This window comes from Homo sapiens, chromosome 6, assembly GCF_000001405.40.
Source record: "Homo sapiens chromosome 6, GRCh38.p14 Primary Assembly".
Classification (NCBI taxonomy): Eukaryota; Metazoa; Chordata; class Mammalia; order Primates; family Hominidae; genus Homo; species Homo sapiens.
In genome coordinates, this window is record NC_000006.12 from 79,007,636 (window position 1) to 79,033,789 (window position 26,154).

At 33.4% G+C, this 26,154-nt stretch overlaps 1 protein-coding gene and 1 long non-coding RNA gene across 5 annotated transcripts in view; one reads left to right on the plus strand and one right to left on the minus strand.

The window, feature by feature from the left end:
* PHIP (PHIP subunit of CUL4-Ring ligase complex) overlaps positions 1 to 26,154 on the minus strand; it is a 143,836-nt gene that overhangs the window by 73,217 nt on the left and 44,465 nt on the right. For all 4 annotated transcript variants that reach the window (XM_005248729.6, NM_017934.7, XM_011535918.4 and 1 more), the window contains 8 exons: positions 18,308 to 18,529; positions 17,884 to 17,984; positions 11,454 to 11,524; positions 9,848 to 9,948; positions 9,711 to 9,751; positions 8,909 to 9,007; positions 7,995 to 8,148; positions 7,447 to 7,581 (listed from right to left, as the gene is read on the minus strand). In XM_005248729.6, the coding sequence (XP_005248786.1) occupies positions 7,447 to 7,581; positions 7,995 to 8,148; positions 8,909 to 9,007; positions 9,711 to 9,751; positions 9,848 to 9,948; positions 11,454 to 11,524; positions 17,884 to 17,984; positions 18,308 to 18,529 (924 nt within the window). The remainder of the gene's footprint in view (positions 1 to 7,446; positions 7,582 to 7,994; positions 8,149 to 8,908; positions 9,008 to 9,710; positions 9,752 to 9,847; positions 9,949 to 11,453; positions 11,525 to 17,883; positions 17,985 to 18,307; positions 18,530 to 26,154) is intronic.
* The window catches only part of LOC124901346 (uncharacterized), a 73,415-nt gene that overhangs the window by 3,784 nt on the left and 43,477 nt on the right, over positions 1 to 26,154 (plus strand). The gene's annotated exons all lie outside the window — the stretch shown is intronic.

Here is a 26,154-nt window from a genome sequence, read left to right on the forward strand (position 1 = left end):
GGGTCAGTATGTCTTGTTCTTTTTTTTTTTTTTTTTTTTTTAAGCACACCGTTCATTAGAAGAAAGCATCTTACCTAGGAAATACTCCAAAATTTTAAATTATGTATGCAACTTTTAAAATACCCTAAAATAATCTTATGAAATGGACTCATATACCAAGAATGAAAAGAGGTGATAAATGGAATTTATGCTAAGAATAACCCTTAAGAAGTCCTTCCTTATGTATTAAAAAAACTTTTAGATTAGAGCTTGCCAACCTAGGGAAAAATATGTAAACTAGATACAAAAAAGACTCAGATGTATATTTGAAATAAGTGTTGGATCCTGGTCAACATGGTGAAGCCCTGTCTCTACTAAAAACACAAAAATTAGCTGGGTGTGGTGGCGCTCGCATGTAGTCCCAGCTACTTGGGAGGCTGAGGCAGGCAGGAAATCACCTGAACCCGGGAGGCGGAGGTTGCAGTGAGATGAGATTGTGCCAGGAGGCGGAGGTTGCAGTGAGCTGAGATTGTGCCACTGCACTCCAGCCTGGTGACAGAGCAAGACTCCGTCTAAAAAAAAAAAAAAATCCAAATTCCAACAGTTCAGGTGTTATCAAATTACTTTAAAATAGTTATTGCATGGCTGTTTTAATCTTGAAAATTCTTTAACTTATGCCAACATAAAAAAGGAAACTGCTGGACCTGACTTGATAAAAATCAGTAGATCAGATTATTACATAAAATGAAAAAAAAATTATTATATAAAAGTGATTCTGAAAAATCAGCTCTAGATTTTCATCAAAAGAAAAATATTACCAAAATAAATATCTTCAAATTTAACATCATTTTGTACCCATATTATGATTTCTCTGGGGAGAGCAATACTATTGATTAGGCCTTCCTTGAGGCTTATTTTCTTTTGGTCTTTTTGGCATATTAGCATGGTGTGTCTTCCTTGACACACCCTCTTAAGGATTGTGACCCCTTTTCCATTCTGCTAAATATATGAGTATTTCCCAAAGTTTACTTCTAAGCCTTCTGCACTTCCTTCTCCTGTCTCCACGAGAAAGTAAACTATATACTATAAGAAACACTTCAACACTTTCTTCTTTTTACTCCTAGCCCCTCTAAGTAGTCTATCTCCAAGTGCCAGCTGGCCATTTCCACATAGGTAGTTCAACGCAATAAACATTATTACAAATGAACTGAATAAAGAAGTCAGTTCTCCCTTATGTCTTTCATATTTCCACTAATAAAACCATTGTTCTCAAGGTCACCCGGGCTTAACACTCTATAAACCCATTTATTAAATCTTTCCTCCCTGTCATCCTATAGCCCAAATCCTAATATAGTCACAAAACACCAAGTCATTTATGTATTTTTTTCTTTACAAATTTCCTACCAACTACCCCTATAATATTTCATGACTAATTAAAGTAGTTGTCCTCACACTTATTCAATTTCATACCTGAAATTGTACTACTGGCAACCAAACTATTTTTCTCTTAGCTTCTCGACCATCCTATAAAATAATTTACTAAAGCCCCCACAAGGTTCATAGGTATTTATGCCTATGAGATCATTTGAAGTCACTGACAGTTCATCTCAATTTGTTTTTCGTCATTATTTCCAAAATCTACTGCAATCAAGCTTCCTAAATATCTAAATTTCTATGAACATGTCTTGACACTTAGCTTTTTATAATGTTCCTCTTGTTTATAAAATTCATTCTCTTTCTTACTGACTCGATTCCTATTTATCTTTCAAGGCATAGTTTCAATTCCTTCTCCTCAACAAAACGTCTCCAATCGTCCACCCTGACAATGATCTCTACATCTTAAGATACAGCAACTGTCTTTTCTCATTTGTCATGCTACTGTTTGAAATTATTTATCAATATTTATCCCTTAAGGTATATTTTGTATATTTTGTCTCCCCAACTTAACTGTAGGCTGACTAAAAAGACCACGTCTTATTCTCCCTTGTGGTCCTCATATTTTGTGCTTAACACAAAAGAAAACACTCAAATATTTGTTAAAATGTTTTCATCTGCATGTTTAAATTCTGTATAATTTCATATACCTTCTCATATAACTATCAAATCTCAAATACCCTTGTGATAGCAAGTCATGGACTATGTCAAAGAATTACTACATAAAAGTAATTTACCACATATAATGCAGTGTGAGAAGCTGGAGAGACAAACTCACATTCATGGCAACAGATTAACATGCCTTTTGTACCAAGATATATATATATAAGAGAGATATAATCTAAAGAATCTTAAAACCTGAAAGTGATAATTACTAAAGTGTATGGTAAGAAGACCGAAAGTACTTCCTTACCCAAAGAAGCTGAAACATAGACTGGAAGCATCAGAGAGTCCTTTTAACACAGAGAGTATAAATATAGGACATTATCTTGTTAGATGATGATAGGAAGAAAGAAGGAAGGAAAGAAGGGAGGAAGGGAGGGAGGGAGAAAGGGAGGGTTGGGTGAGGGAGAAAAGAAAAGAAAGAGAAAGAGAGAGACTCTTCTCCTGATTAATAAGAGATAACACAATATGAGCTGTACCTATTTTGAGCTTCTCTTTCTCCCTTTCCTAGATACATACAGCTACAATTATCTAAAACTAAAGTACAGGTCACACTGAGAACATGTTAACATCAGAAGAAGTATGCATGTACAAAAATTCTGGGTGGTAGATTGGCAGCCTCTGCTCGTTTGGAACGTTGCAAGGAGAAATATATTGTTCTGGATTAGTGGACACTGGAACTTTTTTTTTTTAAAAAAATCTCTTAAGTAAAAGAAAGGTTAAGAGAACAATTATAAAAATAAGGAAAACTTTAATCAAATAAAAACTTATTTGGAATTTACCCATGAAACAACAAAGTAAAGCAAAAATCAAATTCAGTAAAACTGCTTTCTATTAAGAGACATACTATACTCTTTGATTAAAATGAAAACCAGACAGGAGGCAACAAACTACAGCTTTGAGTAATGACAGAAATAGAAAGATATGGAAAGAGAGATAGAGACACAGCTAGGGCTATAGAGAAAAGAAAGAGTAAGAGAAATAAAGCAAAACCGCCAGAAACATGAGGAAAGCTACTAAAAACATGGGGTCTACAAATTCAACTCCAAGCATCTCTTATTTACTATTTAATATTCAAATGGCCTAGTACTAAGAAATGTGAAAAGTCTCTATCTTTTCAAATTAATTTAATATTCATTTAGTTAAACTCGTAGTTAAAACTTAGCTGTCCGGTGCTAATTTAATGGGGAATAAAAGACCATAAAACAATTTATATTTAGGAACATTTAAGGTTATAATTAACTTCTAAACCTGGCGACCTCTTTCACAGAAGGCCCTCAGCTTCAGTCCTGAGAGTTGCACACATTTTCAAGCTATTTCTGGGAATTATTTATCTGCCTTTTAGCATTTAATGGGAGTATAGAGCCTTTAGAGTTTAGAACAACTCTCATCAAAACAAAGCTATTCTGATGTTTACCTCCTGCCAATGCCAAACAAATGTGGGCTTACTAAGTTATACCCAACTATTATAGTTTGGAATATTCTTAATATACACTACTTGCTTCAGTAAAATATCCAAATATATACTACATTTCCTCTGAATACTCAAGTTATGTAAGGACTGTTCAGTTGATTCGTAAAGAAATAAAAGTACTGAAGGCCTAGAATGTAGTTTGTTTGTTTTTAAAGAATAAAGTTGTCTCATAATATTTTCTACAAAATTCTCTTTGGTTTCTTCTCCTGTTCACTTAAAAAAGAAAAACAACAACAACAAAAAGAACCACAAAGGCTTTCCCAATAAGTGCTTTTAAAAGTTTTTAGTTAAAGATGAGACAACAGAAAGGGTAGGGGGAGTACAAGCTACATATACTGTCTATTCCATTTCATGCCCTATGTTAGCCTCTTTTAAAACATCATCTCACGTGTCATATACTTCTTATAAGTAACAAAAACAAACCCAGCACCCACTCCCCAACTGCTTTTATCATTGAGATCCTCTATTAGGAGGAAAGTTAGCAGTAAAAACAAGAAAAATAAACCCCTCAGTTTCTCTGGAGAATACTACTTGAAAGTTGAGAATCCATTTATAAGATTTCAGAATGAAGTAAATTATTTAAACATAAAAGAACTAAATAGCTTTATCTCAATTCCCAATCTCAAACTCTTTAATTTGCTGACAAATTTAGATGGTCCCAAAATAAAGCACAAGAAATTTTTAAAAGTATAAGTCATGGCTTGATACAGAAAAAAATTAGAATACTTATTACAATGATGACTATCAGTGCAATATTAAAATATTAATGTTTTATAATCTTATATTTAAAAATTATTAAAATGTAATTACTATGTATCAAACAGGCATTTGAAAGTTCACCTTTTCACTTGAAAGGCTTTTTAACATAACAGGATTTTTGGCTATTTCTAAAATTTCAAAAAAAGAATTTACATTTCCATAATTACACAAAAAATGCAGTAAAATGCTGATGAATACAAAATACTAAATTATATGTTACATGATTTCCATTATCTTTTGCAAAGGTATAAATTTCCAATGGAAAATTCAATTATTATTCAAAAAGCAGGAGAAATATTAAAGTATTCTTAAAATATACTTGATAAAAACCAGTATTTAAGAAATTTGTACTAAAACTGTTATTCTAAAGGTATAGTCTACATTCCTTATTTTCTAGCTGTAGGTGGAATGGTGAGTTTACTTATCTGTTTTATAAACTTCAGTTTTAACAGTCACATGAAATATTATTTAATCTTAAAAATACTTCACATAACTTTCACCATTTCTAGTCAAAAAAGGAGTATTCCACCAGAATTCTTCATCCTCTAATAGACCAAAGCACTATATATGACTAGACCCTTCACATGGTGCTCAAAAAATATTTACTAAACTGAACTTGTGATTACTACTACAACTTAACATTAGGGATTAAATTTGTATGCAATCAAGTATCGTGGTATTTTAGTAACTGAAAAACTTATTGATTAGCTACAGAGAGCCAAATAGCTATAATTATAGCCAAAACTCAACATTCATGATAGCAAGCAGTGAGAACGCAGGCCCTCCCTCGAATTGTTTCTCTTTATTTTCTTAATAGCAATGCTGGATGCTTTATCTTCCATTTGCCCATAAATAAAACAAGCAATGAAAAGAACAAAAGAGTGAAGAGCAAAAAGAATTAGGGCAATTAGATAACTCATAAAAGACAGACAGGAAAAAAAATCAAGTTAAAGAGTAAGATGTCAAAAGATCCACTCAGATTTATTACCATTATGAAAACATTTCTTCATAGACATATCACTAACTGAGTATTGTTAAAAGTTAGCTATGCAGTAACATTGACAAAAGCTCAAAAAGCCAACCATGACAAGATTTGAGTACAACCAGAGTCATGGGTTTATGCTCCAAGTGCCCGCATAATAGCTGTGTGAACTCAGTAAATTGGGGCAAAGCACTTTATCTCTGTAATGTACAGTTTCTCCATTCCTAAGACCAAGAATAATAAAATCTATCTTGATCATCTTACAAGGTTTTCATGAGACCCAAAGGAGGTAAAATATGTGGGAGCATTTTGGAAACCATTAAACATCATACAAAAAATTAAAGGTAGTATCTTTATTTTAATGAGATGAAGGGTGGCTCACTTTCTGTTTTTTAGCTTTTTTGGTTTATGTTTTGCTCACTGTCTGCAATTCTATGAATACTATCCAATTCAACTTATTACATGTATTTGTTTCTTCTGCTCTTTAGAGTTTTCCTATCTCTTATCCATAAAAAGAACCAGAAAAATATCCTCATCTAACACTCTTATTTAACAATAAACAATTTTTAAGGCAGTAATGTAACCAATCCCTCAGCTAATTTTTAAAAATATACAATATATTATGGCTGACTTCTACTCCTGGTTACATTACTAATTTTTAATGGTCTAAGAGCAAATCACTTAACTCTCAAGGTGCTGCAGTTTTTGTTATCTACTGAAAAGGTAGAATATTAGTGTGACCAACTTACCTGATAAGGGAAAATTCACCTTTATATAACTGAAAAGTTAAAGCGGTATTCAATTATGGGAGAAAAGTTTCCCTCCAAACACTCTACCAATATAATAATGTCCTTTGGAAATACAAAACTACTAAATGAAGCCACTAGTATATATATAGCTCACATATTATTTTTTTTAAGCTATAAAGACAGATTGAGAAATGACTAATTTCCTTATTCAACAGATATTCCAAAAAGGAGCAAATCAGAAACACAAGGATAGAAAAGCAGAAAATATTTTTTACTAGCATATTTACAGGTGGCTTTTTAAAAAAATCTCAATACAATCACAAAGGAAATCCATCCATCACTAACAAGTGCACACCAAATAATTAACACTGTTTTCTAGAAATAGAGGGTTTTACAAACCTTATTTCTTACCTAATGTATTCTAAGGCACAGCCTTAAAGATAGCTAAAGCTATTTCCCTCACTAAAAAATCTGCTATTATATCTGCTTACTCACGACATAGAAATAACTTTACTCTGATTATCAATCAAGCATAGCATCACATTCGTGTAATTTTTTCACAAACCATGTTTCACAACTGTTTTGTGAAATAATTTATTTGGCAAAATAATTCTGACCACATGTACTAATTGTATTGTTTTATGGTTCATTACTAAAGATTTCTATAATTGGTTTTTTAAAAAAATTTAAACATGCTGAAATAGTGGAAACTGTTTTTTCTTTTGTTCTTTGTTGAAAGGTATCTCTAATATACAGAAAGTAGACATTTAAAAAATATGACTACACAAACTGCAGTAGTTGAGGAGACCTTAATACTTCATACAGTAAATAGAAACACTGCTCGGTAAGTTGTATGTGATATATTAAAACATTGTAATTCAAATACTTGGCCAATTATGTTAACATCTAAGAAACAAAATGTGAAGAGAAGAGTATAAACTCAAATATTTAATATACTACCAATTGATTAAAAGCAAGAAATGCTTGATTCTTTGGCCTTAATTTTAAAATCAGTGTACTTGAGTAAAATTCTATTGTGCTAGAAGACTATTAAACAAGTACAATAATACGAGTATTTATTTATAATTTCTTCACATGGTTTTCCAAGTATTTTTTCTTCTCTATATTGTATCTTCATACTTGTGAATTTCCAAAGTTTCACTGCTAAAACTGATAAAACTGTATCAGTTATCACAATGTACAGGCACTGTAATATGCACAATTAATTTTCTTTTAAATTCAGCATGTCAATAAAAGTGTGGAATAAATCATTCTTTATTGATGGGAATTTAAAGTCAAAATAATGAACCAATTTTTAAATGGATTTCCTTTGTGACATGCAGAGTACCTTTGTCAAAAAGCTCCCAAATCTTTAGTAGGTATAAAATGAAGAGAATGATAATTACCATATTGAAATAAGATCGTATTTTGACTCCTCTTGCCAGATCCCACACTATCACGTTTCCATCATGACCAGCAGAAAAGAGAACTCTAGGATCGAACGGGTGTGGTTCAAGAACAAATACCTCATCTTCATGACCCTGAAATATTTTTGAAGTGTCAAAGAATCATAGATATTAAAAAAGAAAGAAAAACAAACATAATGAAATACCAATATGGCACTATTTCTAGAAATGGAGTTTTAAGAAGTATTAAATTGGCAAAAATCTTCAAATTTGTCATGTATATATAATAATGAAACTGAGCTAATATCATTGTCCAGGGCTTGGTGGATGGATCTTTTCATATTAAAAAAACAGCAAATATCTACTATATATTTCCAAGCCAAACCTGTTTAACTGCACTGTTAAAATTATTCCCAATCACTCACAAAGCCGTTACCCCAGCAAGCAAGAGTTTTTAGCTAACATAAAAGACTTTATTCCTCAATGAGAATGTTTCATTCTATAGTCAGCTTCAGTTATATCAAATAAAGATTAGAATTTTTTCTCACCATCAGGACATGAATTAGTTGACCAGTGTAAGAATTCCAAACTTTCAGAGTCATGTTATTAACTGCAGTTATAACTGTATTGTCATGTCGATCCCAAGCTACCATAGTAACCTTCATTTTTGTGATTTTATCTTCTATTCCTTGAAGGTTTTGGCTGAAAGTGAGGAAGTGTTTTACACTGACTATTAAAATACTGACACAACAAAAACCAAAACATATAATCTATAATTAGTATTTATATTCACTAACATAATAACTATCACTTAACAGTAACTGAGAAGTTTGAATCAACATGGAATGATGGTAAAAATCCCTGCACTGAGTCAGGAAATCCAGGATTTCCAGAATTCTAGCACTTCTAAGCCATTAGTAAGATGATCTTGCATAAATATCACTGCTATAACTCTATCTAGATCCAGGAATTCTGTGCCATGCTGCTCACTCTCCATCTTTTACTGTTGCTGTCATCCCCTGCTGACTGTTCTGCTTTCCCATCCATCTGAGATGACTACACACAAATACAAGTGGAGAAAAATATTAAAACCAAAATAACAGCTACAACACGCAGTTTAATTTATCTTGGCTTGAAGAAACCATTGGACATAAAATATTGTCCCTCTGTGATAAACGAAACATAATATGTTCTGGTTTCTGAAAAAAATATTTAAAGTTAAAACTTTTCTTACAGTACTTTTATCATCTCCTTAAAAAAATTAATGCAATGTCCTGAAATATGCCAATGAATCATTTCATAAAAATCAACACTGCTCATCTCCAATTGTACCTCTAGTTATCGCAGAAAAGTAGTAATTTTAACATGATATATAATTTTATAGGCTGAGAGTCACCAACCTGCACTATAACATACTTTAAAAAATCAATATATACATAATATTTCAAATTTGACCTCTTACCCTGCTGGACGAGTAGCCATATCCAACAAAATGCTCTTCCACTCTCTTCGTTTAAATTGCCAAATACGTGCTGTCCCATCACGACTGCCACTTACAAACCTGTATTAAAAGGAATCCGATCCCCCAAAGAAAAATCATACATGCTTTACCAAAATGCACTTTTCCCAGAGATCTTGTTTAAAAAGACAGCATTCATCTTTATTTATGCAGCATTCTAATAACTTCTGAAACTTTATGGGCTTTTTAGAATTTTATATGCAAACATTCCAATTTTCATGGCTAGGTCACAAAATAACATTTTCAAAAGTGATTCAAGGTCACTATGTACTACCCTAGAAATAAAATCGACATTTTCCAAGGAAAAAACAATGATTTTCTTCTCAATATTAAAGAATCTGACTTATTCTACTCAAGGTATTAGAAGTAGCTTTATTTCCTTTTATAACAAGAACATGGGAAAATTTATACAATATCATCAATAAACAGGTCTGCCTTAAATATTATACTGTGATACATTTTCAATCTATACCAAAAGCTTCTCTACATTTTGAAACATATCTGGAATATATAGGGTGATTTAAAAAGCAGTAATTACTAAAAGTGTCCAAGTATACTAACATTATTACAAATAAGAGAAAGACGTGCCTATGCATGTGAAGGCTATATTCACTTTTAAGTATAACTGGTCAAGATCTTTTAGGTAGGTGATTATTTCCTATACAGCTTCAAATAAAATCTGATGACTAAAATTGTCTTTATTTCATAATTTTAAAATTAGAATTAAATTAGACAAATATTTTACCTGTTACTAGTGTTGGAAAACTGGATACTGTCAACTTTGTCCTATATATAAACAAATAAACAAAAAAGTGGGTGCTGAATATAAACTCTTGGACTCACATAAATTATACTCATCTAATTCTTTTCACCAATACTTACAGTATGAAACTCCAATTCTGATATTTTCTCTGGCTGACCTGATCCAAAAAAATAAACCCGAATAATATGATCTGTGCTTCCCGTCGCCAGAAACATTCCACCTATGAAGAATAACAGCAATTGTTAAGAAGTAAAACATAACTTCAAAATCTCTGAAAATTAGATAATAAAATGTAAGCAAAATTACAGTATATACTGAATTAATATTTTACTCCAAAACCATTCACATTTATCCTAAATATATAACACATCTAACTGGAATTTAAGAAAGAAGTTTATGAATATATCTGACTAGAATGAATTTTTCAATATTTATAGAAGTAAAGCTTTGCTCAAAAAATAATTTCACTAAGTGAATATATAACCATACCATGTTAAAATTATCAGTCACCTTCACTAGAAAATATTTCTCTCGCAATTCTGCTGAAATTTTTCTGTTGTCTCATTTCCCATGTGTCAAAATCTTATCAAACTTTTAAGGCCCAACTCCCTCAGTAACTTTTCTTTACAAACTTTGCAATTAAATGAGGCTGCTCTCTTCAGAACTCCCCTAAGACTTTGTTTTGTAGCATATTCATTCTACCTTGCATTACAGTTATTTGTATATGCAGTGTACTCAAGAGTAACACTCTTCCACAGTATTGAAAACAATACCTGTATATAATAAAATATTTAAGTACTTTTGCTAAATGATCTACCCACTAACCCCTTAAAAAAATCAAATTGTCCTTGAAAAAGGAGTAAAAATTCAGAGTATTCTGGATGCATGTATGATGCCTATATTTGTATGACTACTACAAGGAATACTGAATCCATGGCAGTGGCACTGAACATCTAGAAGTTAGAAAATGAACATGTTTGGATATTAGTATGGCAAAGACAGACTCACTTCATTAGTTTGCTATCCCTTATCTCAGGTAATACTCCTATCCACAATTATAAAATGAGCGGAAAAAGTAAAACTGAAAATAAAGGTAGGAGGAACAGGTATTAGACACTATTTGGATCTACTCATGTTTCATTTAATTTTCTTATCAATTTACTACAAATAACCAGATTTTTTTTATAACTTGTTTAAAAATACCCTAACATCCATTCAAAATGCTGCTGCATAAACACAAATCTGAATTGGAATCTTAGCACTGCTATACAATCACTTTTTAAAGTGCAAATAAGAACAATATGTAGCGAATTAACTGATAAAGATGTACAAATATGAATCAAATTTATTTTACTTAACTATAGAATACCTTCAAAATCCATGAAAACATAAACCAGATTTAAAATACCATTCTTACAATGAAACAACTATTTAAACATTCATTCTTTAACAGGGTCGATTTTGAAACTATTTATTCTCTCCTACTAGAACATTATAGTCTTCTTAAAGAAAAACAGTCATGTGATTATATAAACTAAACTCTTGCATAAATGAAATATTTCTAAGTTAGTTTATAATAATTCTCAGTTACTTATTAGCTCTGGCATATGTATAAGAACATGATTGATAATACAACAGTAAATATTTTCCTAAATATTACACACTCCACTATAAGGCTTCTAAATGAACAACTTTAAGTCGAAAATTAGAATGAGGGAAACTTACCAGCACTAAAAGAAGAACAGATCATTTGAACTCCAGGCCGAGGGCGCTCTGTAAATTTTGCAGGTCTTGGGCTGTAATACAAAAAATAAAGAATTAAAAATATCCTAAAGGAACCAGTAGCAGCAGAAATAATCTGTTTCAAAAAATAATCCCAGAAGGACAAAATTAAGAAGCAACAGATGGCTCCCTTCCTAAAAACAACTTAGAAATCATTATGTGTCATAAATCAGAAGATCTTGTAGAAATTCTAGATATAGATTTTGTAGGAGCTCCTTATTACACAACAATACGTACATGGAACAATTCCAAATTCACTGTCACACCAGACATGCAGTTACTAGTTACACTTACTTCTAATCAAATTTAACATGTTCTCAGTTTTTCATATAGAATAGCAACGTACAAACATATAAGGAACTAAGCTATTCGCAAACATGAATACATTAGCAAAATAGGTGCTGTCTGTGCCTTATGTATACCATCAATAACTGAACTTTTTCAGTATTTTACATTAATTAAGCTTTTCCCTTCTTTGACCTACTAATGTGATAAAACATGTCTTTTAAGACCCCAAAAAGTAGGGATATTACATTTAACCTAGTGAAAATCTGAAGATACTTTGACTCTTACGTCAACTACAATGAATGCTCATTCAAAATAGCAGTCTACAGAAAACAGGTTACACACAGCTGTATTTACATTAATTGCCTAACTGTATTACAGATTACATATTTTATATCAATACTACTGATATTAAATGTTTAATGTTACAGTCAACCAATTAGAGAAAATGAAGATTTTTATCATGACACCAGCTCTAATACATTTAACAATGTGTATGTAATGTTCCAATATACTGATTATATTTGAAGCCCTACTTACTGTACATTTTGGCATAGTTCTTCTACACTATTTGATGAAATGCAAAAATAATTAGAGCTTAAGCCTATATAACTTTCACAATATATAACAAATTTAGAGCAGTTTTAGTTTTGTGATCATTTACTGGAAAAAAGTATATACATAAAATATTTCTGAGCTATAGGTTGGTGCAAAAATAATTGCGGTTTTGCCTTTTTTTTAAAAAAAAGCTTTTTACCATTAAAATAATGGCAAAAACTGCAATTATTTTTGCACCAACCTAATATATATTCTGAGCAAAGAGAATTATCTTTTTTACTGATACAGAATGCAACAAAATGTTAAGAATTTAAAAAATAAGTTTGTAAATAGTTTTACATTAGTATTTACAGCAAATTCTATTAATATTCACAGGCTCTAATGTAACAGATGAGCAGAACAAATCTCATTTAGAGAGACAGATATTAGAACATTCTTAAAACCTAAACATTTATTCAGAGCAAAATTAACTGTAATTTAAGTAAATTAATCTGAATTATGAAGGCAACTAAATGCATTGCTTTCATTACTACCTTATGGATTATAGCTCTAGATTTTTTTTAATTTTTGGTACATCTGCTCACATAAGTTCCAAGCAACCATTTACCTGAAACTCATTACAAAAATATGCAAATAGTCCTATAAACTACCATTTTTAAAAGGTTTTTATTTTAGAAAGGAAATCAGTATATTGAAGGGATATCTGCACTCCCATGTTCGCTACAACACTGTTCACAATAGCGAAGATTTGTGGGTTTTTTGGTTTTTGAGACGGAGTCTCGTTCTGTGGCCCAGGCTAGAGTGCAATGGCACAATCTCAGCTCACTGCAACCTCTGCCTCCCAGGTTCAAGTGATTCTCCTGCCTCAACTTAAAATTTTATAAGTTAAATTACAGCCAAATGACAAAAGCAATGAAATTATATTTTAAAGTATTAAATTAGTGTGACAATGTAAGTAATTATGTGTTTGTTTACTTGTTTAGGTTTAAAGCAAATCAGTAAGGTTAGTTTAATGGAAAACACACACACATAGATGCTTTGGAACCTGATGGACCATCATTTGAGTCTTTGTCATTGCTAATGTTACTTATTTTTAGACACTTCTCTTTACACACTGGTGAATTATTTTGATTAACCAATAAATTTAATAAAGCACTACAAGTTACTTTTTTATTGGAGACAGAGGCTCACTCTGTCACCCAGGGTGAAATGCAGTGACGCTATCTCAGCTCACTGCAACCTCTGCCTCCCAGGTTCAAGTGATTCTCATGCCTCAGCCTCCCAAGTAGCTGGGATTACAGGTGTGCACCACCATGCCCGGCTAATTCTTATATTTTTAGTAGAGACAGGAGTTTTACCATGTTGGCCAGGCTGGTCTCAAACTCCTGACCTCAGGTCATCTGCCTGCCTTGGCCTCCCAAAGTGCTGGGATCACAGGCGTGAGCCAACACGCCCCGCCACAATAGTGAAGATTTGGAAGGAACCACAGTGTCCAACAACAGATGAACGGATAAAGAAAATGTGGTACTTATACACAATGGAGTACTATTCAGCCATAAAAAAAGAATGAAATCCTGTCATTTCTAACAACACAGATGGAACTGGAGGTTATTATGCTAAGTGAAATAAGGCAGGCACAGAAAGACAAACATCACATGTTCTCACTTATTTTGGGGATCTAAAAATCAAAACAGTTGAATTCATGAGATAGTAGAGGATGGCTATTATAGGCTGGGAAAGGTAGTGGGAGGAAGAGGAGGGAGGTGGGGATGGTTAATGAGTACAAAACTAATAGAAAGAATGAATAAGGCCTAGTATTTGATAGCACAACAGGGTAACTATAATCAATAGTAGTTATACATTTTTAAATAACTAAAGGAGTGTAATTGGATAATTTGTAATACAAAGGATAAATGCTTAAAGGGATGGAGACCCCCTTTAACACCATGTGATTATTATGCATTGCATGTCTGTATCAAAAGATCTCATGTACCCCATAAATATATACACCTACTACATACCCACAAAAACTAAAATTAAAAAATAAAAAGATTTTATATTTTTAAAGGGAAAAAACAAGTAGCTACCCATAATTTGTTTTTAGATGCATTATTTGAGGAAACATTTTTAAAAAGGGCCTTGGGCCGAGTTCAGTTTCTAGGTCTATCACTTATCAAGAGTGCGACCTTAGGCCAAGTTAACATTTCTGTACCTCAGTATCCTCATCTGTAAAACAGGGGTAAAACGGAACCTATTTCAGAGTTGCTGGGAGAATTAAATGAGTGTGATACATGTAAAGTGCTTAGTACAATGTCCAATATGCTCAATAAATATTAGTATTTTTATTAGGTTCAACAAGTTCTAGCCAATCCTTCAATGACTAACTGCCACTTAGTTTGGCACAGTGGTTAAAAGGGGTTTCTGACATTATACCTCTAGTAGTATTTAAATCCTGGCTCCAGTACCACCTGCTAACAATGTAACCTGCTGTGCCCCAGGTTTTTCCCTTATCTGCCCCAGAGATAATAACTGTACCTTTCTCAAAGGGTTGTTATAGGGATTGAGATAACAAATGTGAAATGCTTAGTACTAGCTTGGCAGACTAAGCGCCTAATAATCACAAATAAAAATTTGTAATCATCATATTATATGCATATTTTAGGATTCCTAGTCTCTTTACACCTAAGTCTAAATATACTTGGACAGCTTCCTCCTACCCAGAGACCTCTGGAGCTAGCTTATGGTTCACTTAGCCACTTAGACTACCCATTTAAGAAACAGCATCTTTGCTCGTGAGTTGGTAATACACACATACAAGTGAATTTATAAAGATATTTGAGTTCCCAAAGTTGAATTGATTCATTCAACTAATGCAGATGCAGGATTTCTAAAGTCATTTCCCCCAGCAGAATATACAAAAGCATTATAGCTAAATACAATTTTTGCCTTTGATTATTAATTAAATCCTATGTGACATAAACAGTATAAATCTATATCCTGCCAAATTTTTGGCAGTTTTCAACTATGTGTAAACACATAAAGAAAATAGGTGTTCCAAGGCTTATATCTAAAGAGCAATGGATTGTTCTTGTTTTTGTGTTTTTAATAAGACAGGATCTTGGCCCTGTCGCAGAGGCTACAGTACAGTGGTGAGATCACAGCTCACTTCAGCCTTTAACTCCTGGGCTCAAGCAAGCCTCTCACCTCAGACCCCTGAGTAGCTGGGACTATAAGTGTGTACCACCATGTCTGGCGTTTGTTGTTGTTGTTGTTTGTTTGTTTGAATTTCTGTAGAGACAAGATCTTGCTCTGTTACTTAGGCTGGTCTCAAAGTTCTGAACTCAAGTGATCCTCCTTCCTTGACCTCCCAAAGTCCTGGGATTAGATAAGAATGAGCCACTGTGCCCAGCCAGAGTACTCATTCTTATGCCTGAACTCTGAATTTAAAAATTTTAAGGGACAAGAATAGGAAAGAATATAGGAATAGGAAAGAATATTACTTATAAATACCTAGAAAAAACTTTGAAGTCCAAAAATAAAAAAATTACTAAGTTGTATATAACAACTCTATTGAACATAATGCAAGCTATTAAAATACATATAAATATCTATGGTAAAATATTAAGAAAACAAAATTATATATATATTCCTAATTATATCTATATAAAAACATTCATGGAGAAAAAATACTGTATTAGGGTAGTGGTTTATATGTGATTCTACATAAAGGTTCTGAAAAAATCATTTATATGGACAAGCTTACTTCTCAAGCATCCAGAAACATGAAATGTTATTGTACTTAGCAATAAAATCCTCAAGAAGCACAAATAAGGTGTGAGTTTAATTCTGTAAAACATTTTCTGTTCCTATCCCAATTTGAACATTGCTAATCACTTTTTCTTCTCTAAAACAATAAGACAGGAAAAGAGAAAGGTATCCCCATCAGGTCCATGAGGAGGTTAAAAAACAGTAGCAACAATTAACAATTAACTATTGCTACTGTCCATATACATCAGTAAAATATTTCAACTTTTATCTATCTACAGAAAGACTTTAAATACGAGGGATGCAACTGAAGTGAAGTCAACTTGCTTTGTCCAAAGAACCATGTTTTAAATCACAATCTTTTTTCAAATGAAGTAGTTTTGTTACTCGAGCTACCATGGCCCCCAAGCTGCCATAAGAACCACTCTACAAGAATGTTCATATACATGAAGTTAAAGAAGCATGTGTTGCATTACAAACAATTATCTAAACACTACTGTTTTTAAAATAACAAAGGCATACATATATTATTTTATTAAATAACTCAACTTGGGTTGCTAATTTATACATAGCAGTCAGAGATAATTACTGATATATACCTTCTAATCTGAATGACTTTCCACCCCGAGTGGCAGAAATGGCCATTTCAACACTGTGAAATCAACTGAATAATCAATTGAATACACTACTTTCTTGTTCAAAGACTATCCATGGAGCAAATACACTATTTCCTCTCCCCACTACATCCACTTAAAAGATATGGTATAGAGGCTGGGCACGGTGGCTCATGCCTGTAATCCCAACACTTTGGGAGGCCGAGGTGGGCGGATCACGAGGTCAGGAGATGGAGACCATCCTGGCTAACACGGTGAAACCCTGTCTCTACTAAAAATACAAAAAACTTATACGGGAGTGGTGGCGGGCGCCTGTAGTCCCAGCTACTCGGGAGGCTGAGGCAGGAGAATGGTGTGAACCCGGGAGGCAGAGCTTGCAGTGAGCTGAGATCGCGACACTGCAATCCAGCCTGGGCGACACAGTGAGACTCCGTCTCAAAAATAAATAAATAAATAAATAAATAAAAGATATGGTATAGAAAGCATCAAAGGGCAGAGAAGTGCTCTAGTCCTGGCCTTGCCAATTTTTAAACATAGTTTTAACTATGGGAAAGTCATTTAACCATTTCAGTGCCCTTAATCCAAAGATAATACTATCCAGCCAACTTGTTTTGATAAACCGAAGTATTAATATGGGCGACCGCACAAATGCAAAATGTTATTATGGGGAGGGAGGGGAATACATCTATCTACCTTGATGCAGTTTAGTGAAACTTCAATGATTCTGTCTCCCTACATTTTCCTAGATCTAAAATAAAATCTAAAGTTTATAGATTCAGTAGCATCAATAATTAAAATTATTCTAAAGAACAGCATTAGAAATTCTTAAGATTAAGTTCTGAGCATCAAAAGCAGCTATTAAAACTATGCAGCACATAGAAAGGAGTGGTAATAAAACAGGTAAATGCTGAAGGAAAGAGCTAGGATTAGGATAAAGAGAAAAAAAATGTGAACATGAGAAACTTTCTTTGAAACATAAAAAAAGGGGAGGAATAAAAATAAAACAGGTTAGTAAAGAGCCAAAAGAGGATTTCTATTATTTACTCAAGGAGAAAAAGTAAATGTATTCCTATTGTCGACTACTTTATACTTTTGCAATTTCACTCATTAAACTAAACACATTTAATCTATGAAATAAAATAGAAACTGACTTTATTTTAAGGGTTCCAGCATCCCAGAGCCAAAAACAAATAGTGCCATCTGCCCCAGTAGAAGATAGATATCTCTTTGAGCCACTGCACAATGGTGAGAACTGAAAAGACAATCACAGAAAAAAAATCTTTACAAGAGTGACACAGTCAAAATAAAATCTACTTTTTGCCATACAAATAGCAACTAACAACAACAGTTAGAAAATGGCAAGAATTTACCAAGGTTATGTTATTTAAAGTCCATATATTTATAAAGAAAGCAGACATACTCCTGTCTTCATTTTAGTTGGCCTTATATACTGGATTATAAAGGTGATTATAAAAGTAACTTCTTAAAATTTAATAACCAAAAGTGACTTCATTAAATTTACTTTACATTATAACAACAACAACAACAACAATGTATAGGGATTAAGACAATTACCTGTAGTGATGTAATAGATGCACTATGGCCCTGAAGAACAGCCAAAGGTGCACAGGTTCGAAGACACCAGACTCGGATCATTTTATCACAACTTCCAGCTGCTATCATGGTATTCTCATAGTTTACAGCCATGTCTGATATTTCAGCAGCATGTCCTCTTAAGGTAGCTAACAACCTCCCATCATCTGTTGCCCATATTTTCACAAGACAGTCATCAGAACCCTTAAAGTAAGAATGGATATTAATAGAATTAACCCCATAAATTTTAATTCAAAATCTTAACACTGATAAATCTACCTGTTCTGTCCACTTCTGAACAAGTATATTTTTAAATACCAAAAAGTGTTAAATACTTGTGTTAGCTTACACAAAGCTCTTTATTAAACCACTTAAAAAGAGCACTTGTGTACTCACCAGCAAATAAGACAAGTGGGATAAGATAATTAATATTTACCTTTGGTTCCCTATCTACTATCAAAGTACCCTCAATGTGGATTTCTGTAAAAGAAATTGAACTTCTGAAATAAAAAAAAAAAAATCATAGCTGCAAAACAAATGCAAGCTACAATGGTGACTAATATTATCTATTTTGTTTTGTAATACAAAACTAAAAGTAAGCTTGTTTGGGGCTTTTTCTCTCAGGAAGCTGTGAGTTTCCTATCACTGATCTTCAGCTAAAAACATGACATTATCTAAAGCCAGTTATCAGAAAAAAATTAATCTCATCTGTATGAAGTCAATAAAAATACATAATTACTTGTTTACTCTGCCATAGTAGTGTAAGTCCAGAAAGAAATTGTAAAGGATATGGAGTTTCCTATGAATATCTATATTTACAAATGAACATTCCCATTTTATATAGCCAAAATAGAGATAGAACATTCAGACTCTATTTTTATTTTTTATTATAATAATTTTAAATATATAAGAAAGTAGAAAGAATAGTATCGTTAATCCCCATATATCTACTTCCCAGATTCAAAACTTAATATTTTTGCCACATTTTCTAGTCTTTAACACAAGGTTAAAAGAGAAAACACACACTTTTGCAAAATTACTGAATATTTTACAGGATACAGTTTTACTAAGGGTTCATGTTAGAATGCTTAACGACCTTCCAATCTAATTCTTAAAGAAACACCTTCATATCTGACATTAGAAAGAACTCAGAGGACCTATGGAGGCATATAATTCAGACAACTTTCTGCATCATAGTGACAATAAATATAACATATAAATCATCATACTGACAATAAATATAACATATTAATGTTTCCAAACAGAGTATGTTAAATGCTGTATCTTAAATCAGACTCTGCCAATGATACCTAAAACACCCCCCAATTAACGATAAAACCAGTTCCTCTGATTAAGCTTTGGAGTAAAATAAATGGGTTACTAACCACTATAAAGACCAGTAAAACTTAACTTTGGTCAACTATCCATATTGTTGTCTAGTATTCTTATCACATACCCTTAACCTCACCTCAGGCTCTTCATCTATAAAATACGGAGGTTAAAATGGATGGCCTTTAAAGTTCCCTAAACCTTTAAAATTAAGCGATTCATGCATTCATTTATCCCTTTGTCTTGTGACTATGTGACAACCACTAAAGATATAAGAATGAGATATAAAGACACAGTATTCTTGTCCTTGTGAAGCAAGACAGAAGAATGTAAATGTGATAACGTCCTATGTATTATATAGGACATATAAACACTTATATGTCCTAAGTGTTTAACCACTGTTAATCAGCAGAGATTCAAACAAGGAAACAGTCTACTTTTTCTGAGAGATGCAGAGGTACGGGGTGGAAAGGAACCCAGAAGTGGTGATGCTTGAATAGAGTCTCACGCAAGAAGAGGCAATGTAATGTAGCTTAGAGGACAGCCTTCAGGGTCAAATGCATGACTTTGGACATGTTACATACACTTCTTGTGCCTCAGATTTCTCACCTATGCGTACCTCATAGGATTGTCACAAAACTAAATGAGGGTGAAGAGATGAGACAGTGTCTGACACATGGTTACAGCTTTATCTTCTAACACTGCTTTTGCTGGTGACAGTATTCATATTCTTATTTTAATAATATCATTATTATTATTTTAAAAAGAGCATTCCATAATGTGACTATAAAGTATGGTCAAAAGCATGAAAATGTGAAACAATGTGAGTAGTTCATAGAACTGCAAGCAGCCTGCAAGGTAATTTAGAGTGTGAGGTGAAGGCATAAGGATGAAAAAGTAAAAAAAATTTGTGAAAGGCCTTTTACGGTTTACTAAGAAAAGTGGTGTGTAATGAGGGTCACTGAAGATATCAAACAGGTGAGTATCAGGATCATACTTGTGTTTTCTAAAGATCATCCTGGCATCAGTGTGAATTAGGCTAAGACAGAAAGGAGACCAGCTGAAAGTTGTTAAAATAGTATGGTCAGGAGAGAATAAGTGGTAACACAAATTATTATAGCAAAAAAGAATAATCAAAGACATGGTTATAACAGCTGTTTGGGGAATAAAAGGGATAAGGAGCACATCACTGATTATCTGTTGGAAGTGAAGGAAGAGCTGTAGCAGACTATGACTCCCAGAAAGCTGGTCTATACGCACATCGGAAACACATTAGGGATTTGCTGAGTAAAAAAAATGCTTTAGGGCATTCATTCAAATTAAGTTCTCTACATTTCACAAATTGAATCAACATATTCACTACATTTGGTTATCTTCCCAAAACTGAAGCAATTTTGGTTCTCACCTGCATTCAGTACACAAAGAATTTTAAGTACACTACAGTAGGTAGACCATATAACAAAAGTAAAATCATGACATCATGTTATGCTTCACAATACTGATACAATTCATATCATTCTTATGAATCTTTGAATAAGAGTGTGTTTTACATTCCACTATAAAGATGCTTCACATATTTTTCATGTTAACAAATAAAAACACCAGTCTTTTGACCAAAATGTCAGTTTTAATGAAAGGAGCAATGGTAATCTGTGACCTAAAATTAACCTCCAGTGACTTTCACCAATTAAAATGTAACAGGAAGTCCTACTATATTCCTACTGGGTTTATCATTTAGTTATCTTACCACTTTAGTATTGCTTGATTAAATTTGCTCTTTTTAGACAAGTGCTGAAAACAAACAAAAATGCATATGCTTCCCTCTGAGTGCATATTATCTCAATTAACCTTTCTTTTCTTCCATCAAATTGCCAGAGAGAGAAATTTTTGACCATCCTTTCACAAAAATCTCTCCATTATCCTCTTCCATGACCCACAGAAGTTTGCTGCCCCTACCCCTAATTCTACCCCTCAGGACTCCCGGAAGATTTTCCAACAGAACTGCAAGCATTCTTAAGCAATTTCTATCTCATATATCATCGCTTGTGATAATTAATTTAACTTTATGGAAATTTGAAACAAAAGATAATCTGAGCATGAATTCAATGAAACTCTTTTAAGATGACTATACAATATACAAGTACTCAAAAATAATTGACTAGAAGAACTGCAGAGGAAAAATTAAATGTATTGGGAAAAAATGTTTAAAGCACTATAAATGTGTTTTATTTTATTATTTATACATTTCCTTATTTACTTTGAGACAGTCTTGCTCTGTTACCCTGGCTGGAGTACAGTGGCGTGATCATGGCTCACTGTGACCTCCACCTCCCAGGTTCAAGTGGTTCTCATGCCTCAGCCTCCTGAGTAGCTGGGATTACAGATGTGCACCACTACACCCAGTTAATTTCTGTATCTTTACTAGAGATGGGGTTTCGCCCTGGTGACCAGGCTGGTCTCGAACTCCTGGCCTCAAGTAATCCACCCACCTTGGCCTCCCAACGTGCTGGGATTACAGGCTATAAATGTGTTTTAAATAAATGAGGAAGAATGAATTAAAAATCGATAAATATGATTATTTTAAAAAAGACCAAAATGTCTAACATAATTTGAACGGATACACTCTCTTTTCCATAAGCCTACCTCTAGTTCCACGAATGTTACTAAGATCAATAAGCCAAAGAGTAAGATATTATAGTCTTTTGACCAAAGAAAAATAAAATGTTAAAACCAAGTTATGGATATTAAAAATAATGTTACGTAAATGGTGAAAAGGGGCAATGACATAAGATATACCTCTTCTAAGGTGTATGAAAGAAAAGGAAGTAGGGAGAGATCATGTAACCTCAGCAAAAACAAAACAAAACAAAATCTGAGGATTAAAAGTGAGAGGGAGAGAACAACAAGCGAATGAACTAAAAAAGTGAAGAAAGTTTGGAAATGCAGTGGAATAAAAGCAGTAAGAAAGGTGGAAAAATTCTGCAAGCAACAATTAAAGACCTGCTAAATTTAAATAGCATGATGTTAGAAATACCTCAACTGACATAGTTTTTTCAGCAAAGCTCCAATACTCAAGGGAAAACTAAGTAGTCATTTCTTTTCAGTAACATCTCAATGTTGCTGGGGATTGCTGCTCGGGCTAGGAATTGGCAAAGTAAGAAAACTTGAAAGTACAAAGTGTAAGTGAAAATAAGTGATTATGCTGGAAATGTTTTACCTAAGAATGATAATTGAGTTTTAAATGCCTGTTAAGAGTTTGTATTTAACCTGCTGAGGTAGTCACTAGACAATTTGTAAGCAGACAAGACATGGTCACTATAGTATTTTAGCCAGATCCTGCTAATGTTTATGTGAGTAATAGATCTGAAGCTACAAGAAGAGGTTTAGGTTAGAGATAGAGATCTGGGTGTTATCAGTTTATACCATAGTAGTCAAAACAATGATAGCAGATGAGATTACGAAGAGAGACCACTTAGTGTAGATTTTTATCTGGAAAACTATGAACAGGTTTTAAGAAATCCATGGGGTGGGTACAAAATTTAAAATCTTTTTTATAATTCATTTTAAAATCAAATTATTGTGCTATTGTTTAATCACAAAGATAAGAGAGTAGTAAATCACTTGTTTCATTTTTCTTTCTTGTTTTTTTTTGTTTGTTTGTTTGTTTGTTTTGAGACGAAGTCTTCCTCTGTCGCCCAGGCTGGAGTATTGTAGTGCGATCTCGGCTCACTGCAACCTCCGCAGCCCAGGTTCAAGAGATTCTCCTGCCTCAGCCTCCAGAATAGCTGGAATTACAGGCGTCCGCCACCACACCCAGCTAATTTTTATATTTTTAGTAGAGGCAGGGTTTCACCATGTTGGTCAGGCTGGTTTCAAACTCCTGACCTCAAGTGATCCATCTGCCTCAGCCTCCTAAAGTGCTGGGATTATAGGCATGAGCCATCACACCAAGCCTCATTTTTCAATAATGTAAAATGGTTATAATTACTGCGAAAGAGTGCTCATTAATATTATCATTTGTTTATATCAAACTTAGCATAAGCTGGAAAAATCTCAAGCAAATCTGTATAGCCCTTAGCTTATTTAAATCCCAAAACAAAATGAGACACCAAATTTACAGGGTTTCTTTTTAAGTCAAGACAATCTTGTCATCAAAGGATGAAGCCAAGGAAGCTAAAAGAGTACATCTCTATACTTGAAAACACAACAGCATAGATATTATTTATGAGAAAGTGTGTTGAGAAAGGGTGGGAATTAAACAAAATTTACATTTTTCCAATCCTAACAATTTGGCTTCAAGTACTCTAAAATTAGCTTAGTCTACTGCCACACCTGAAAAAAACACACATATTATGATAAAGAAATGTGCCTTAAAAACAGTCAACACACTTCTGCACTTTAGGATGAAGGAAGAAAACAGCATCAGATATTTACTTTGTAACCACTGTTATTTCTTCTAGTACTTTTACAGTATGGAGGTAATGGTACCAATTACTTTTCCTTTCAGCATGCAGCTGGATTTCTTACTATAAGCAATTAGTATTTTTTTCTGTATATCCAAAAAAAGTTCTGATTTTGTAAATCCCTTTAAAAACTTCAACATTCTTCAAAATAAAAAGTTTCAGAGGCAAGACTCAAATAAAAACAAATATAGTCATACTTCCTAGATACCGCAGGCTCAGTTCCAGACCACTGCAATTAAGCAAGTATTCCAACGAAGCAAACCACACAAATTTTTTGGTTTCCAAGTGCATGTAAGAGTTACGTTTACATTATGCTGCAGTGTATTAAGTGTGCAATAGTATTATGTCTTTAAAAAATGGGCATACATTAACTTAAAAATACTTTATTGCTAAAAAATGCTAATTATCTGAAACTTCAGCAAGTAGTAATATTTTTGCTGGTGGAGGGCTTTGCCTTGATGCTGACAGCTGTTGGCTGATCAGGGTGGAGTTGCTGAAGGTTGGGGTAGCTGTGACAACTTCTTAAAATAAGACAACAATGAAGTCTGCTGCATCCATTGGACTCTTCCTTTCACAAGAGATTTCTCTGCAGCATGGAATGCTATCTGACAGCATTTTACCCACAGTAGAACTTATTTCAAAATTGGAGTCAGCCCTCTCAAATCAAGCCACTGCTTTACCAACTGAGTTCATGTAATAGTCCACATCCTTTGTTTTCATTTCAACAATGTTCACAGCATCTTGACCAAGAGTAAATTCCATCTCAAGAAACTACTTTCTTTGCTCATCCATAAGAAGCAACTCCTCCCCCATTTAAGTTTAATCATGAGATTGCAGCAATTCAGTCAGACCTTCAGGCTCCACTACTAATTTTAGTTATCTTGCTATTGCAGTTAACTTCCTCCACTGAAGTCTTGAACCCCTGAAAGTCATCCACAGGGGATGCAATCAACTTCTTCCAAACTCCTGTTAATGTTGACATTCTGACCTCCTCCCAAGAATCACGAATGTTCTTAATGGCATCTAGAATGGCGATAATAATCGATTCTCAATTACAGGTGAAACAGGAGGTTTTCGATGTACTTTGCCCAGATCCATCAAATGAATTACTATCCATGACAGCTACAGCCATATGAAATGTATTTCTTAAATAAGACTTGAAAATCAGAATTACTCCTTGATCCACAGGCTGCAGAATAAATGTATTGTCAGCAAGCATAAAAACAACACTAACCACCTTGTATATTTCCATCAGGGTTCCTGGGTGACCAGGCATCTTGTTAATGAACAGTAATATCTTGAAAGGAATCTTTTTTTTTTTCTGAGCAGTAGGTATCAACAGTGGGCTTAAAATATTCAGTAAACCACGCTATAAAAAGATATGCTGTCATCCAGACTTTGTAGTTCCCTTTACAGAGCACAAGCAAAGTAGTTTAGCATAATTCTTATGGTCCTAGAATTTAAAAAATGGTAAATGGACACTGGTTTCAACTTCAAGTCACTAGCTGCATCAGCCCTGAACAAAAGAGTCAGCCTGCTTTTTGAAGCTTTGAAGCCAGGCATTGACTTCTCTCTAATTATGAAAGTCCTAGATGATGTATTTTTCCAATACACAGCTGTTTCACCTGTAATTGAGAATCTATTGCTTAGTGTAGCAACTTTCTTCAATGATCTTAGCTAGGTCTTTTGGATAATTTGCGGCAACTACTTCATTAGCACTTGTTGCTTCACGTTGCACTTTTATGTTATGGAGATGGCTTTTTTCCTTAAACCTCGTAAGCCAACCTCTGCTAGCTCCAACTTTTCTTATGTAGCTTCCTCATCTCTCAGCCTTCACAGAATTAAGAGTCAGGGTCTTGCTTTGGATTAGCCTTTGGCTTAAAAGAGTATTGTGGCTAGTTTTGATCTCCTATAGAGACCACTTAAACTTTCTCTATATCAGCAATGAGCTCTTTAACTTTCTCATCATTTGTGTGCTCACTGGAGTAGCACGTTTAATTTCCTTCAAGAACTTTTGCTTTACATTCACAACTTGGC